The following is a 16,485-nucleotide window of genomic DNA, read 5'->3' as shown; positions in this document are numbered from 1 at the left end:
AGTGATACCTTTTTAAAAAGTTTTCTTTGAAAGTCTCAAGAATGGAGAGAATAGAGCTGTTTATTTGGTTAAAACATTTATTTTATAAAATCTTTATTATACATTCATTCTTTTGGGTTTCTACTTACTGTGGATTTTAGTTTTCATTTTATAAAGGTTTTTCTTTTTTGCTGTGGTTTGTGGGGTGGAGTAGGGATTGTTACTTGATTTTTCTAAACCCGAAGTGATTCTGTGGATCTTTTCAGTATTGTGTGATTTTTCAGATATAGGGCTCCAAAGAATGGGCATGTGTCCAGTTGGCATTTTCTCCTCGCACATTGTAAATGCTAACTGTGTTATGGAGTAGAGGAATCTAGGTAAGAAATATATAATGATAGTAGCCTTTTTATTCTTAATATACTAACAACTTTACTTGTATTTTTAGGGAAGAATATTTGTTATTTGACAGTGATAAATTGTCACACTTGATTCTGGTAAGAACTATTTTTTTGTCTTAGTCTTTAAAAACTTGCCTAGGTTTAAACTGTTATGTCTGGTCTTTAATGTGGGTTAGCTAGGTTTAAAGATTTAAATATAAATACTCTTACCAAATATTTTACAGTTAAACAGCAACTTAATTTGCCACTTTTGGTTACAAGAGACTTGGTTGTGAAAACACTTTCCTGAATTTGGGATCCAAACTTGTCTTCCAATAAGACATATTCTAAAACTGCATGTTTATATTTGAAAATAGTTTGCACAGTGGGAGTGGGACAGTTGGCTGTATAGGCACAGTAAACTAATGAAGACTACACTTGGATATGTGCTGGATGTGTTTAAGCTGGGTGTGAAAAGCTTCCGTAGTTGTGAAATATATTCTTTATTTTAAAATACAGGATTCTAGTAGCAAGATATGTGATTTGAATGCCAACACTGAATCAGAAGTACCAGGAGGTCAGAGTGTTGGTGTTCAAGGGGAAGCAGCGTGTGTCAGTATTCCACATTTAGATCTGAAGAATGTTTCTGATGGTGATAAATGGGAAGGTAATTTTACCCACACGCATTATTTTCCTGATAATGTTACTTGTAACCGAAATTACCCTAAGCAATGATAAGACTACAGCCCTTTTCTGGATAACCTTATTCATCTTGATCTTCTGTTCTCCCTTTCATGTAAGATGAACAAGTGGGTGTTTTTAGTGAAACACACTGAGATTTTGGGGCAGCATCTCATATGAACTAGAAGTTCTTGTCTGATCCATCAACAGCTTTGAAAATGGATGTTAGAACTGATTTTTTTAAAAAGTCACCCAGCATACGTTTTTGTTAATATTTAAATCAGGTGCTATCTCCTAGTCTTTGGAAGCCCAGTATGTTAAGGCTTAGGGATCTCACCAGTTTAAGCAGAGCGTGTATAATTACCTTGTCCTTAGTATCATCAGTAGTACTTTTTTGAAAAATGACCTTCAAGGGTACTTCTAAACAAATATTGTACCATATTCCTGTATTTCTGTCTTAGGTTATGAAGGTATGGTGCAGGGGACTCTAAAAATTTGCACAAAGGAGAGAAGTTAAAATTTAACAAGCAAACAACATGGGTATATGCATTTCTCAAAACTCAGCAAATACATAGATTTTTGTGTTTCTTTGTATATAAAGTTCTCTTTTTACTTCAAGAGGATAAAAAACTGTAAACAAATGCTGAACTTCAGTGGATGATTTGCATGCTGGAGTGTTTATGGGGAAATTTACTGATACCTGCAGTTTACTCTGAAATCCATGAAAAAAATAAGATGGTTAATGGGATGGATAAATGTTATAAAGCAAGTATAGTAGAATGTTAATGGTAGATTGTGATTGGTATATGGATATTCAGTGTAAAGTTCTTTCAATTTTGCTATGTATTTGTAAACTTTCAAATAAAATGTTGAGTGGGGGTGGGAATCAAGCAATAAATTTGGATCTAGGAGTTTTTCTGGATCATACACTTTGGTAAAGAGACAATGAGATAACTCAAGAATCTTAAGGATAGTTACATATTCATTCACTTGGATGAAGATCCCTGGGTTGTCTCACCTTTGGCAAGTATCTGTTGACATACACTGGCAATAACAGGAATTCTAATGCCAGTGCCACGGACTCCTTTTGGCACTGTTTAAGTGTACTCACCTGATCGCAAATGGAGTGTGTGTGGGTCTTGTTTTTTTTTTTAAGGTCTAGGCATTTTTTTTTAAGAGCCCCAACCAAGTCATTGTCTGTGCCAATTTTTATTGCCATCTCCTCCCCACCCTCCTTTTTATATAGGTCTAGATGTTTGGCATGCCCAGTGGCATATTATCTGTTTTAACTTAGACTAAATTAGAAAGTTGTCTTTAATTTGCTTTGTTCTGGGTTATTCAGGACATCTGGAATTTATGAAGATGCTTCCCAGTGTTGGGGGATATGTTAGCATACTGGTGGCAGTTGAAGATTAAATGTTCTTTTTTGTTATTTATTGTGGCTGAAATAAAAGGAATGGTGGTCGACAGAGCATCCCTTGCAGCATTGCTAGGAAATGAGTCTTCAAAGGAAGCAGCTTGGATTCTGATAAAGCACTTTTGTTTCTTCCTATTAGAAGATGCAGATAAATAGTTCTTTATGATCTTTGGCCTGGGAGTCCTGATTAAATTTTAAACATAGAAGAATAATTGTTTTTCATTGTCTGAAGAGGATAGACCTTCTCTGTCTAGCGTCAGCGTTCTTGAGTCTCCCTGAAAGAGAACCTGATACTGGACTGTCTTTTTTTTCCATGTCAGAATCCAGCACCTATACCTTGGTATAGATAAAGGAGGTAACCTGTAGGCTGCTGATGCCTGATTTTCAGTGCCTGAGCTGCCCTGGTTCAACAGCCTAAACAAGTCTATGTAGGTCCCCTACTTGTTCTTCCAGAAATAGGGGTCCGCAACTTTCAGAAAGCCGACAGTTACAGACACCTGAGCGAACTTCCCAGCCATGAACTGTGCATGTGCTTTGTAGAGTGGCTGTTTGTAGACCATGTTGTTTCTTCTAACTTTGTCACTAATGCAAACATTGATTGGAGTTAGGATATTCCTCCAATTTTTTTTTTTTTTTTTTTTTTTGAGACGGAGTTTTGCTCTTGTTGCCCAGGCTGGAGTGCAGTGGGGCGATCTCAGCTCACCGCAACTTCCGCCTCGCAGGTTCAAGCAATTCTCCTGCCTCAGCCTCCTGAGTAGCTGGGATTACAGACATGTGCCACTACACCCGGCTAATTTTGTATTTTAGTAGAGACGGAGTTTCTCTGTGTTGGTCAGGCTGGTCTCAAACTCCCGGCCTCGGGTGATCCGCCCGCCTTGGCCTCCCAAAGTGCTGAGATTACAGGTGTGAGCCACCGTGCCCGGCCAGGAGTTAGGATATTCTAAATGAAAAAGTCTTATTTATTTAAGAGACCAACTTACTTTAGACCCTGGATACCTTGGAATCAGACATGCTTTGTTTGATGTGACTCTTTGTAGAGAAGTGGGATGACTCCAAATAGAGCCCTATGTCACTATTCCTAAGTACATAGTTTCTGTTTTGTTTTTTCCTCAAAGGATAAGAAAAATAGCAGAATGCAGTAGTAGTTAGCAAGCAGGTAGCACATGACTGTCACCAGTATGAATTTGTAGCAGCTGTTTGCAAAGTTTTGACTTTTAATGGAAGTGGATACCATCTTCAGATTCTCTCCTGCTAACTCTGGAATGAAATGCAGTAGGATTTTTTCAAAGAGCAAACTAAGGGAGATATTTTCCTTTAAAATCATTTACACTGAAAAGCTTCAAACAGTACCTGCTTAAGAATTTCCATTTCTTCAGTTTTATGTTTGAGTTTTAATAAAATAGCACGACTTTGAGTTTTCCCCCCCCTTTTTTGCATTGCTTGCTGAAATGGAAATGTTATGTTTGTGTTTGTTAAAATCTAGTTAGTAGTGATTTCTTTTAATAACGTTTTTGAACAGAATGCCTAACTGGTTTTAGGGAAATGTTTTTGGTATCTTTGGCTTTGTGTTATGTGTATGGTTTGTTCTGACTGTGCTGTGTGTTCACTTTAGTATTTTTTGCCATTTTTTCCATTTTATTAGCGTCATGCCCTATCACTTTTCCCCTCATTGATTTCAAAACAATGCATCTGCAGAGAGATGGGGAGGGTAAGTATGGTTCACCATAGTTTAGTTTTTTTGCCTTTTATGGTTCACTTTGTTTGTCTTTTTATTAAGCCCTTCTCCTGCTGTCCCCATATCTTAGGAAAACTGTTCTGGGTTCAAAGTGAACCCAGAAAAAATTGCTATTACTTTTGTCTTTTCTTAAAATAGGATATTTCTCATAAAATGTTTACTACCAGTTACTTATTTGCTGGGGCACAGGTACAAGGGTTGCTTTGAAAATCACTTTATTGTTGGGTTTATTGTGGGATTGCACGCTTTGTACCCAATTTTTAATTCTCAGATTGATCTGGGCTTCAAAAACAAACTAAATTATGTTCTTATTATTTTGAAAGGAAAGGTAATGCTTTAAATTGCTAATGCATAAAGTTAAACTAAATTACTAAAGCAGCGATCTTAGCTATTGTGTGAGGAAAAAGAAAACATCACTCTTGAATTTTGACACTGTCAAGCCCTCTTTGCATTCATTTTCGCTATTGCTAATAGCCAATAGCATCAAAATTTTTAAGTGTAGTTACTTAAAAAAAAGCTGCCGGGCGTGGTGGCTCACGCTTGTAATCCTAGCACTTTGGGAGGCCGAGGCAGGCGGATCACTTGAGGTCAGGAGTTCGTAACCAGCCTGGCCAACATGGTGAAACCCCATCTCAACTAAAAATACAAATATTAGCCAAACATGGTAGCAGGCGCCTGTAACACCAGCTCCTTGGGAGGCTGAGGCAGGAGAATCGCTTGAACCCAGGAGGCAGAGGTTGCAGTGAGTCAAGATCGTGCCACTGCACTCCAGCCTGGGTGACAGAGCAAGACTCCATCTCTAAAAAAATAAATAAATAAATAAAAAGCTAATGTGTAGATGGGAATTTTTTCTTTCCCTCCTGTGCTTAATGTTGTATTTGGGGTATATTTGTGGATTGTGTGTATGATCTGTATGTGTTCTATATGTAATCAAACATTATATTTGCAAAGACATCAAATGTATTAACATAGCTTTCATTTGAGGGCATACAGGATAACTGCAGTAAAGTAAATGTGCTTAAGAAGGCCTAGTGCTATTAAGTTTTGTCTTAGTAACACTGTTGGGTATTATTAAAATATATATTATACATAGGAATCCTGTAGCAGAAGATAACCATCACAGTTTAATGTTAGAGGCCAGGTGCTGTCAGGTGAATTAGCTCCTCCTTTGGGAATATTAGAATTCTTCTAAAGTCAGAGAACTCCATTTGGTGAGTGTTCCATGTAACATGGGGAACAGCTCCCACTTTTTCTTAATATAGCTATTTGACAGTGAGGGACAGGTCATACACCTGACATCATTTGGCTTTTAAATTAAATTTCTAAGAAAGAACTGTTCAGTTCTTGCTGTTTCTGGTTTTCCCCTACTTGAAAACTAACATTTGTAAATAAAACATCTTTTGAAAAGTTCAGAATTATATTAAATAACATCTTTAGAATTAAATTGAGTTTTAAAGAGCTTGACAATGTCCTTTCTTGCTTTGCCACTGGGTTCAGAAATTTAAATTTATATGGAAATAGAACTCTGGGCTGGGCACAGTGGCTCATGCCTGTAATCCCTGCACACTGAGAGGCTGAGATGGGAGGATCACTTGAGCCTAGCAGTTCAAGACCAGCCTGGCCAACATAGTGAGACCTCGTCTCTACCAACAACAAAAAAAAGAAAATTAGTCAGGCGTAGTGGCAAGCGCCTGTAGTCCCAGCTACTCGGGAGGCTAAGGTGGGAGGATTGCTTGAGCCTAGAAGGTCGAGGCTGCAGTGAGCCACCATCATGACACTGAATTCCAGAGCCTGGGCAGCAGAGCGAGACCTTATCTCAAAAAAAAAAAATTGAACTCTGGACTAAAAAGTGAAGCTTGAATAATTTTAAACTATAGTAGGCTTTATGAAGATTATATATATATATATATACACACACACATGTATGTGTGTGTGTGTGTGTGTATGTGTGTATGTATATATGAACCACTACATAATGATATGATTTAAGGAACACATAGCTGATATTTTGTGACTTTTTTCCCACGTGGAATCAAGAGACCCATGGTACTATTCTTTGTGTTTGTTTTATAGAGCCATTTCCTGCTTTTAAGTCTTGGCAGGAGGACTCTGAGTCTGGAGAAGCTCAGCTGTCTCCACAAGCTGGAAGAATGAATCATCACCCCTTGGAAGAGGACTGTCCTCCAGTATTATCACACCGCAGTTTAGATTTTGGTCAAAGCCAGCGTTTCCTACATGATCCAGAAAAGTTGGATTCCTCATCTAAAGCACTGTCTTTTACTAGGTATATGATTTTTATGTACTTACAAGAGGCAATTCCTATTATGTACCCAAGTCTTTTGAGAGATTTAGTCTTCCAGCCTGGGCTTCAATAGTGAAACTCCATCTCAAAAAAAAAAAAAAAAAAAGAGAGAGATTGAGTCTTCTAGACATAGAATTCAGAGCTTTCTCACTGATTTTATAGAGCACATTTTTGTAAGTTTTGGTTTTTTTTGACCCTGCTGAGTTCAGTGAGGTGTAGCGTTTGAAGTTTGCTCTCAAATAGACATTTTCTCGTGGTGTATTATTCATTTATTTATGTATTCATCGCTGAAATACAGAGCTCTGTAAAGGAAGCAGCAAATGGTGCTGAGCAGTTCCTAATCTTTTTTTATCAAAGCTTTAAATGGATCTGAATGTCAAAAACTTTGTTATGCAGTTTGAACAGTTACAAGAGCTCTGAGCTGCTAGGTATCTTTGTTTCTTTGCTGCCTTTGTCCAAACCAGTTTTAAATGATTCCAAACTGTTTTCATCACCACTTGTATTAGCTAAATTTGTGGTCTGTAACATTACAGTGTTTCTTTATACTACCTGTCCTTTAGTGTTAGGGACTTATTTTTACCTTTAAGATTTACTTATTGCTAATAGTGCCATGTCAGGGCAATAAGAGATACAGTGTTGGTACTTGAAAATTTAACAGTGTTGGCCTTTTGTTTTAATTCAGAATTCGAAGATCATCCTTTAGTTCAAAAGATGAAAAGAGAGAGGACAGAACACCTTATCAGCTGGTCAAGAAACTTCAGAAGAAAATCAGACAATTTGAGGAACAGTTTGAAAGGGAAAGAAATAGCAAGGTAGGTTTGTAGCATTCCCCAGAGTGAGCTTAATCTAATATTAGAACTGAGAGGATAGTTTTTCAAAAGCATTAGTTTAGATCTGTGTGAGAAAGGTAACAAATCTGAGATACCCGGAGGAACAGTGATCATGTAGATCTGAGATTATATAACTCCTTGGTCTCCTGACTTCCAGGCCAGTATTCTTGCCATTTGCACCGTGGCATCTTTATATTTCCACTGGCAAAGCAGCTTTTAGAATTTTTAAAGCAAATACTTTACATTGACAAATCATGTTACTGCTATTTCTGCTCTATCAAAAACTACAAGTACCAAGTGGGGAGGAGAGGGAGTTTGTGAGGGATGGAGTGGAGGAGGGGAAAGAGAATTTTAATAGTTAGAACATATGAAGTGGAAAGAGTCCTGTACTTGGAGTCAGAAGACCCATATTCAAATCTGGCTTCTGCCAGTTACGAGACCTTACCTTGGGAGAACTTGACTTAATATCCTGCCCTATCTAATTAAAATAAGATGAAATGAGAATTGAGCAGTCTTTGCTGTGGGAATTGTAAAATACTATTTGGACATAAATTAATGTAACTATTGCTTATCACAAGTGTCAGTGATTCTGCTCCATAATTTTTCAGCCCTCCTACAGTGATATTGCTGCCAATCCAAAGGTATTAAAATGGATGACAGAGCTTACAAAACTGCGGAAGCAAATTAAAGGTATATTATGTGCCATTTTGTAATATATTTGCATTTTAAAAATTTTTTTATATTAATGTCTGAGAATCACAAATACAACTTTTGATAATTTTAAATCTTGGGCACTGTTTGACAAAAATAAAAGTTACCTTTTTTTGTTTTATTAGGGTCAAAATTGCATACTGTAGTACTGTGTTATAGTACAGTACTGTAGTTCTGTATTATATTTTAAATGTCTTTTTTGTGTTTTTATTAGTAATATCTTTTTGAAAGATACCTGAGATTGTATATTAATAAGTGAACTGATGTTATAAAGTTTATCTAAAATATATTTCAGATATTAAGCAGCTTTGAGTTTTGTTGGATATTTCATTAAGATTTTTTGGTAGGTATTTTCATCTAAGACTAAGAATGTCTAATCACAGTGACTCGTTTATACCACAAAGACTAAATTGTAACTCTTGAATGATAAACTAGGCATTGCATTTCTGGGTGTCAAACCAGTATAGTAATTGTTGAAGTATATTTAGTTTGTGGATGTTTAGTGAGTATGTGTTTTAATAATTATTACTTTAAAAATTATGCAAAATAGGGGTTTATTATCTGGAGCATCACTTTGGTTTAAATTTACTCAATAAAGTTTTTATTTTTATTTTTATTTCTAATTTTTTCGAGACAGAGTCTCACTCTGTTGTCCAGGCTGGAATTCAGTGACGCCATCTCAGCTCACTGCAACCTCTGCCTCCTGGGTTCAAGTGATTCTTGTGCCTTAGCCTCCCGAGTAGCTGGGATTACAGGTGCACGCCACCAAGCCCAGCTAATTTTTGTAATTTTAGTAGGGATGGGGTTTTGCCATGTTGCCCAGGCTGGTCTCGAACTCTTGGGCTCAAGCGATCCCCCTGCCTCAGCCTCCCAAAGTGCTGGGATTATAGGTGTGAGCCACTGCACCTGGCCTATAAAAATAAAAAAATATATATTTTTTATTTTTTTGAGACAGAATCTTGCTCTGTCATCGAGGTTGAAGTGTGGTAGCATGGTCATGGCTCACTGCAGCCTTGAACTGGTGAGCTCAAGTGATCCTTCCACCTCAGCCTCAAGAGTAGCTAGGACTACAGACATGCACTGCCACACCCAGGTAATTTTTTAAAATTTTGTATAGAGTTGGGGTCTTGCTTTGTGCCTGGATTGGTCTCAAACTTCTGGCCTTCAGCAGTTCTCCCACCTCGGTCTTGCAAAGTGTGGGGATTACAAGTATGAGCCACCGTGCCCAGCCCAGTAAAGTGTTAAGTATTTCTGAGGTACTAAATACTTTGTAGACAACTAGGGATATAGCAGTGAACAAGACAGACAGAGTCCCTGCTGTCATGGAGTTTATATTCTTGTGGTTAAGATAATGTTTGCCTCTCTCTCTCTCCTTTTTTTTTTTTTTTTTTTTTTTTGTTTGAGACAGGGTTTTACTCTGTTGCCCTGGAGTGCAGTGGCACGATCTTAGCTCATTGCAGCTTCCACCTCCCGGGCTGAAGCGATCCTCCCACCTCAGCATCCCGAGTAGCTGGGACTACAGGCACATGCCACCATGCCCAGCTAATTTTTTTGTATTCTTAGTAGAGATGGCATTGCACCATGTTGCCCAGGCTGGTCTCAAAACTCCTGGGCTCAAGCCATCTGTCTGCCTTGGCCTCCCACAGTGCTGGGATTACAGGCGTGAGCCACCTCACCCGGCCAAGATAATGTCTCTTAACTCCTCTTTAGAGTATCACTTAATTTTCCCCTATACTTCTGTTAAAGATTTCCTTGTTTAATGCCAATTTCCAGTCATCAGTGAAAATTATTACCTTGATTTTATTAGTAGTTGATACCATTAAATTGTCTAGCATTGGCCTCCTAATTTTCCCATTTTCTTTCACTTTTACTGCTCTGTAGTCCGTCTGCTGCATGGTAGTCAGAATTATCTTTAAAAAAGTCATGTTAGCCTGGGTCCCAGCTACTCTGGAGGCTGAGGCAGGAGGACCACTTAGGCCTAGGAGGTCAAGGCTGCAGTGAGCCATGTTTGTGCCACTGTACTCCAGCCAGGGTGACAGGGCAAGACCCTGTCTCAAAAAGAAAAATAAATAGTCTTACTACTTTCTTTTTCAAGCCCTTCAGTGGGCTTCCACCTAGAATAAAGTCAAAACTCCTTACTGTGGTTTTCAAGGCCTTGCACAGTCTGCCCTTGGCCGATTTTATCACTTTCATCTCTTTTCTGTTCCTCAAACTTGCCAAGCTTTAGGACCTTCACACTGGCTATTGCCTCACTGGGGACAGATGCCCTTCCACTAAATCCTTTGTGCTAGACAAGCTCCTTATTCCGTATTCTACCAGGATGATACTATTCAGAGAGGTCTTCTTTGTCAATCCCGTCCAATGTAGTTGTTCCTCCACAAATTATACTCCTTTTAGCGCTGTGACTCTACCCTGTTTTACCTATAGATCATAGCATTCTTTAAAGTTATTTTACTAATCTGAGTATTTGGTTATTGTTTTCCTTCTCTGAATATATGCTCCACAAGAACAGGAACCATGTCTGTTTTGTTTTCTTCTGTATCTCCCATGCCCATCAGAGCATTTTATTCAATAATAGGCTCTCTATGGATATAAAAATAATAGCTTGTTCTCTCTTTTTTTGTTGTTGTTTTTGTGTTTTTTTGAGACAGGGTCTGACTCTGTTGCCCAGGCTGCATTGCAGTGGTGCAGTCTCAGTTTACTGCAGCCTGAGCCTCCCAGGCTCAATGTGGTCTTCCCACCCCAGCCTCCCAAGTAGCTGGGACTTACAGGCATGTGCCACAGTGCTCAGCTTTTTTTTTTTTTTTTGAGACAGAGTCTCACTGTCTCACCCAGGCTGGAGTGCATTGGCTGATGTTGGCTCACTGCAACCTCCGCCTTCTGGATTCAAGTGATTCTCCTGCCTCAGCCTCCTGAGTAGCTGGGATTACAGGTGTGTGCCACCAGGTACAGGCACATGACACCACACCTGGCTAACTTTTGTATTTTTAGTAGAGACGGGGTTTTGCCATGTGGACCAGGCTGGTCTCGAACTCCTGACCTCAAGTGATCCACCCACCTTGGCATCCCAAAGTGCTGTGATTATAGGCGTGAGCCACCACACCCAGCCTTGGCTAATTTAAAAAATTTTTTGTAGAGATGGGGTCTCACTCTGTTGTCCAGGCTAGTCTCAAACTCCTGGGCTCAAGCAGTCCTTCTGCTTCAGCCTCTCAAAGTTCTGGGATTACAGGTGTGAGCCACCACACCCAGCCTAGAATAGCTGTCTTGCTGTTTTTTGCTTCTTAAATGTTTTATTTGGCTTTGAAATATCTAAGTCTGTGTGCTGTTAATGTATACTTTCTTGTTGTGTATTTTGCTTATTCTTTGACCCGGTCAAAGCTAAAACCAATTATTACTGATCTGTCCTTATTTCTGACATGTAGATGCAAAACACAAAAATTCTGATGGAGAATTTGTACCTCAGACACGTCCACGTAGTAACACACTTCCAAAAAGCTTTGGCTCTTCTCTAGACCATGAAGATGAAGAGAATGAAGATGAACCCAAGGTCATTCAGAAGGAGAAAAAACCATCTAAAGAAGCAACCCTTGAACTTATTCTTAAAAGACTGAAAGAAAAACGTATTGAGAGGTGTCTTCCAGAAGATATCAAGGTAATCTTGAGCTATGATTTTTGCCCAGATTAGCCTTTAGAATTCCTGAAACAAAATAATTACTATAGCAGGGTAGAGATGTCTAGGTAGTCTGATTTTCCTGAATCTGCTCCCCATCTTTGCAGATTCAGAAACATGATTTAATCAGCATAACAGAAGTGCCAAATACTTCAAGAATTGAATCATAATAAAACTGAAAAAACTAGAATGCTGATGAGTTCATTTATGTTGGAGTCAGTTGGCAAGATGAGTGTATAAAGAGCATGAAACAGGTAGCTCATGCCTCAATTCCAGCAATTTCAGAGGTCGAGGCAGGAGGATTGCCTGAGCCCAGGAGTTCGAGACCAGCCTGAGCAACAAAGTGAGACCCTGTCTCTACAAATAAAATTTAAAAATTAGCTGGATGTGGTAGTATGCACCTGTAGTTCCAGTTACTTGGAAGGCTGAGGTGGGAGGATCAATGGAGCCCGGGAGATTAGGACTGCAGTGAGCTGTGCCTCCAGCCTGGATGACAGAGTGAGAAAATAAGTAAATAAATAAATAAATAAATAAAGCATGAAACAGACCTACAGACCTTAGCTTGAATCCTGTCCTTGTGTCTTAATAGCTGTATGTATTGAGCTCCTAGCTTATGCCCCACGTTGGCTGGTTATATTTTATGCATTATGCCACTCAGCCCCTTCAACAATCCTATAATGTATATTGACGTGATTATGTCCATTAATACTAACTTGATATGGTTGTTATGAGGATTAAATGATTTTTTTTTTTTTTGAAGAGCCATTATTCTTCCCCAGTAAAGCCTGTGCCTAGGGCAGTCCTGATCAAAGCACTTGGCAACCTAATCTTATATTGGATGAGATTTGCTTGGAGAATGGAGAGAGTAGATGGTCTCAGGTGAACTTTTATCTAGGTAATAGTCCTAATGTGGAACTCTTATCTTGACAACAGAGTACACCTCTCTCATGATCCAAATATTGGAGTCTTTCTTTCCCTTGAACAGAGCTGAATTAGTCATTCTCATCTCTTCCCCTCTTAACTTTTCTTTTGCTTAAAAAAAAATTTCTTTTGGCCAGGCGCGGTGCCTCACGCCTGTAATCCCAGCACTTTGGGAGGCCGAGGTGGGTGGATCACCTGAGGTCAGGAGTTCGAGACCAGCCTGGCCAACATGATGAAACCCCATCTCTACTAAAAATACACAAAGAAATTAGCAGGTTGTGGTGGCACATGCCTGTAATCCAGCTACTCCAGAGGCTGAGGCAGAAGAATTGCTTGAACCTGGGAGACGGAGGTTGCGGTGAGCCAGGATTGCACCATTGCACTCAAGCCTGGGCAACAGAGCGAGACCTCGTCTCAAAAAAAAAAAAGAAATTTTTTTTTGTAGAAAAATTGTTTTGGTAGAAATCGTGTCTCACTATGTTGCCCAGGCTGGGCTCAAACTCATGGCCTTAATTGCTGAGATTATAGGTGTGAACCACAGCACCAAGCCCTTTCTTTTAGTTTTAAGTTTTATGTTAGAATAAATATTCCCCTACCTGCTACAACTTTATGCAAATGTATTATCTTTGGTTTAAGACTGATTCAAGCTTGAGGTTGAAATCACAGTATTTGACAGACTACACTCAGCTATCCTCTACTGAATGTGTGTAATCTAAAGTTATATTTGTTATAGCAAGATGTTATCCAGTGAATTTTTTTTTAATCTTCAATTTTACTCTCATGAGAGACCAGGGTGGTATTAATGAGTCCTGGGAATAAGTAGAGAGATTATTTGGTCTAGTGTTAAAGGATATTCTGTGGAACACACATTCAGGTGTTAATAGTTGATCCTATAGAACGAAGGGGACAAGTTTGTTTTAATTAGTAGAGTATGCGAGACTTACCATATTTATTTGTCTATGGAGCTTGTTTGTGGACAAATGAATTTGGGAAGCATTGCTTACTCTGCTAATTAGACTACTAAAAGCTGTGAGAAGAGTATTGCAGTATAAAGAATGTGCCAACTCAGATGAAGGGAAATGGAGGTAATAGAGAAGTATGAGGTCACAAATGGACATTGTTGAGCTTTTTCCAGGATCTTTCCACTATACTGCTTCCAGATTTTCTTAATGGTTTAGAATAAATATTGTATTATAAAACCTATGTGTGTATGCACATGCGCATGCATGCCCACTCATCTTAATGCCAATAAAATGCCAACAACATTAAATGAAATAGCAAGCAGTTATGTATGTTTACTCTGTGCTAGGTAGGCAGTGTTGCAAATACTTTACATAGAACTCATAAATAGTCCTCTTTAGAGCCCTTTAAGGTAGAACGAAGTATTCCCATTTTACAGATGAGGATGTTGAATACAAAGAGGTTAGGTAATTTACCCAAGCCATATTCATAATCTATTCAGATAAAATGTAAAGCCATCAAAGGGGTTGGTACCTACTTATTATAAGAGCAAATTGTACAGGAGACTGAAAATTTTGCCTGCAAATCTGCAAGCAAAGGCCTGGGCTAGACTGTTGATCGTCTGCCCTTTCTACCTAATTATTTACATTGTGGGAGTGAGGAGAATATTAATGGTGCCAGTGGAGTTTTTTTGTTTTTGTTTTTTTTTTTTTGTATTTTGTTATTTTTTTTGTTTAATTCCAGAAAATGACCAAAGATCATTTGGTAGAAGAGAAAGCTTCTCTTCAGAAAAGTCTTCTTTACTATGAAAGTCAACATGGAAGGCCGGTAATATCTCTCTTGCTAAAAAGATTTGATTTTATGTCTTAAAAAAGAACATGAATCAATTTTGTGGCCTACATTCTTCAGGGCTGTTTTTTGAGCATTATTTCCTACAATTGGGGGATTGCCTATGTATTTAATATAAAATTTGAAATTGGGCGAATAAGTCATTGTTTAATGTTTTGGACATTTTAGATTTGTGATGACTAGACAATTTCTTTTTTTTCTTGCTTCAGGTGACCAAGGAAGAAAGGCACATTGTTAAACCTCTCTATGATAGATACAGGCTTGTAAAACAAATGCTGACAAGAGCTAGCATCACTCCTGTCCTTGTAAGTAAAATAAGCAATAATTCTCTGGTTCATTTTATCAAGATGTACTCTTCCCAAAAAAAATTATTATTGTGGTATATTGGAGAAATACACAGCCAAGACAGAAATAATTGTCACTGTAAGGTGAGATTACTGATTTTAAAATAGGAAACTAATAATGTCTGCTAGTATATCCCAGACACTTGTGTAAGCATTTTTATGTATGCTTATGTCATTAAATCCTGACAAGTAAAATCACAGCAGGTAGAATATGATAGCATCATTTCACAGGTGATGAAACTGAGGCTTAGGCAGTGAGTGATGTGCCTAATCTACTTTGTAAGTGACAGAAGCAGAATGGGAAACTCATTCAGACTCCTTGTCTAGTTTCTTTCCATTTAAATTCATGTCGTTGAAAATGCATCAGTTTTGTGGTGGCCATGATGATGTCCTTTTATTTGCATAATGATATAAGCTGACTTTTAAAATAAGTTAATCTTTTTAATGAGAAGAAGTCACTTAAAATAATGCTTATTGGTATTTGTGTGCATTTTTAAAGAAAAATGAAAACTTTAGTGTTTAAATGCATATTAAGTGCTGTCCCCAAATTAACCTTTAGATAGTATGACTGTAGATAGATTGGTCTTGGGTTCAAATAGAAAACAGCATGTAGCCCATTTTACATTATTTCCTATGAATTAATTCACTGAACCTTCTGGTTTGCTGTGGCTTTCAGGCTATTTTTATGTAGACAGCTACTTGCATGGCAGCTTCCTTTAGGTGATGACTGCCTGGTGACTTTCTTTTTTTTTTCCTAACTTTTATTTTAGATTCAAGGGGTATATGTGCAGTTTAATTACCTGGGTGTATTGCTTGATGCTGAGGTTTGGGGTACAAATAATCCTGTCACCTAGGTACTGAGCATAGTGCACAACATTTTTCATTCCTTGCCCCCCTCCCTCCCTTCCCCCTCTAGTAGTCCACATTGTCTGTTGTTGCCTTTTTTTTATGTCCATGAGTACCCGATGTTTAGCTCCCACTTATAGATGAGCACATTCAGTATTTGGTTTGCTGTTCATTTATTAATTTGTTTAGGATAATGGCCTCCACCTACATCCGTGTTATCCCAAAGGACATGATTTTGTTTTTTTTTTTTTTTGTTTTTGAGATGGAGTCTCGCTCTGTCATCCAGGCTGGAGTGCAGTGGTGTGATCTCAGCTCACTGCAACCTCCGCCTCCCGGGTTCAAGCAATTTTTCACCTCAGCCTCCCAAGTAGCTGGGATTACAGGCACCCACCACCACACCCAGCTAATTTTTTAGTAGAGACAGGGTTTCACCATCTTGGCCAGGCTGGTCTTGAACTCCTGACCTTGTCATCCACCTGCCTCGGCCTTCCAAAGTGCTGGGATTACAGGCATGAGCCACCGTGCCCTGCCGATTTTGTTCTTTTTTATGGCTGTATAATATTTCATGGCGTATATGTACCACATTTTCTTTATCCAATCCACTGTTGATGGGCACCTGATTTCATGACTTTGCTATTGTGAATAGTGCTGTGGATAACCATGTGACTGCATGTGTTGTTTTTGGTAGAATGATTTGTTTTCTTTTGGATATATATACCTAGTGATGGGATTGCTGAGTCGAATGTCAGCAGATGAATGAGTAAATAAGATGTGGTAACCCGTACACTCAAAATACTCTTCAGCCATAAAAAACAATGAAATAATAATAGATGCCACAACATGGGTGAACCTTGGAAACAAGC

The 16,485-nt window shown here is 38.5% G+C and overlaps 1 protein-coding gene across 46 annotated transcripts in view, besides 1 other annotated feature; it reads left to right on the top strand.

The window, feature by feature from the left end:
• The window catches only part of FAM13B (family with sequence similarity 13 member B), a 114,219-nt gene that overhangs the window by 91,540 nt on the left and 6,194 nt on the right, over positions 1-16,485 (top strand). For 12 of the 46 annotated variants that reach the window (XM_006714648.2, XM_024446107.2, NM_001385872.1 and 9 more), the window contains 9 exons: positions 425-473; positions 876-1,023; positions 4,097-4,162; positions 6,263-6,473; positions 7,174-7,303; positions 7,930-8,011; positions 11,455-11,684; positions 14,328-14,411; positions 14,642-14,737. In XM_006714648.2, coding sequence (XP_006714711.1) covers positions 425-473; positions 876-1,023; positions 4,097-4,162; positions 6,263-6,473; positions 7,174-7,303; positions 7,930-8,011; positions 11,455-11,684; positions 14,328-14,411; positions 14,642-14,737 — 1,096 coding nt within the window. Of the gene's footprint in view, positions 1-424; positions 474-875; positions 1,024-4,096; positions 4,163-6,262; positions 6,474-7,149; positions 7,304-7,929; positions 8,012-11,454; positions 11,685-14,327; positions 14,412-14,641; positions 14,738-16,485 lie in introns of all 46 variants that reach the window. The other 34 variants (NR_169824.1, NM_001385866.1, XM_017009550.2 and 31 more) reach the window with 9 other exon arrangements.
• Positions 6,232-6,432: a silencer, noted in NCBI's record as "peak5488 fragment used in MPRA reporter construct". NCBI's record gives its function as "represses an SCP1 promoter by STARR-seq MPRAs in K562 erythroleukemia cells {active_cell/tissue: K562}" and the evidence as "EXISTENCE:reporter gene assay evidence [ECO:0000049][PMID:32103011]".

The sequence above is a fragment of the Homo sapiens genome, chromosome 5 (genome assembly GCF_000001405.40).
Source record: "Homo sapiens chromosome 5, GRCh38.p14 Primary Assembly".
Classification (NCBI taxonomy): Eukaryota; Metazoa; Chordata; class Mammalia; order Primates; family Hominidae; genus Homo; species Homo sapiens.
Note: the sequence above shows the minus strand (reverse complement) of the source record. Positions and strands in the feature narration are given on the sequence as shown.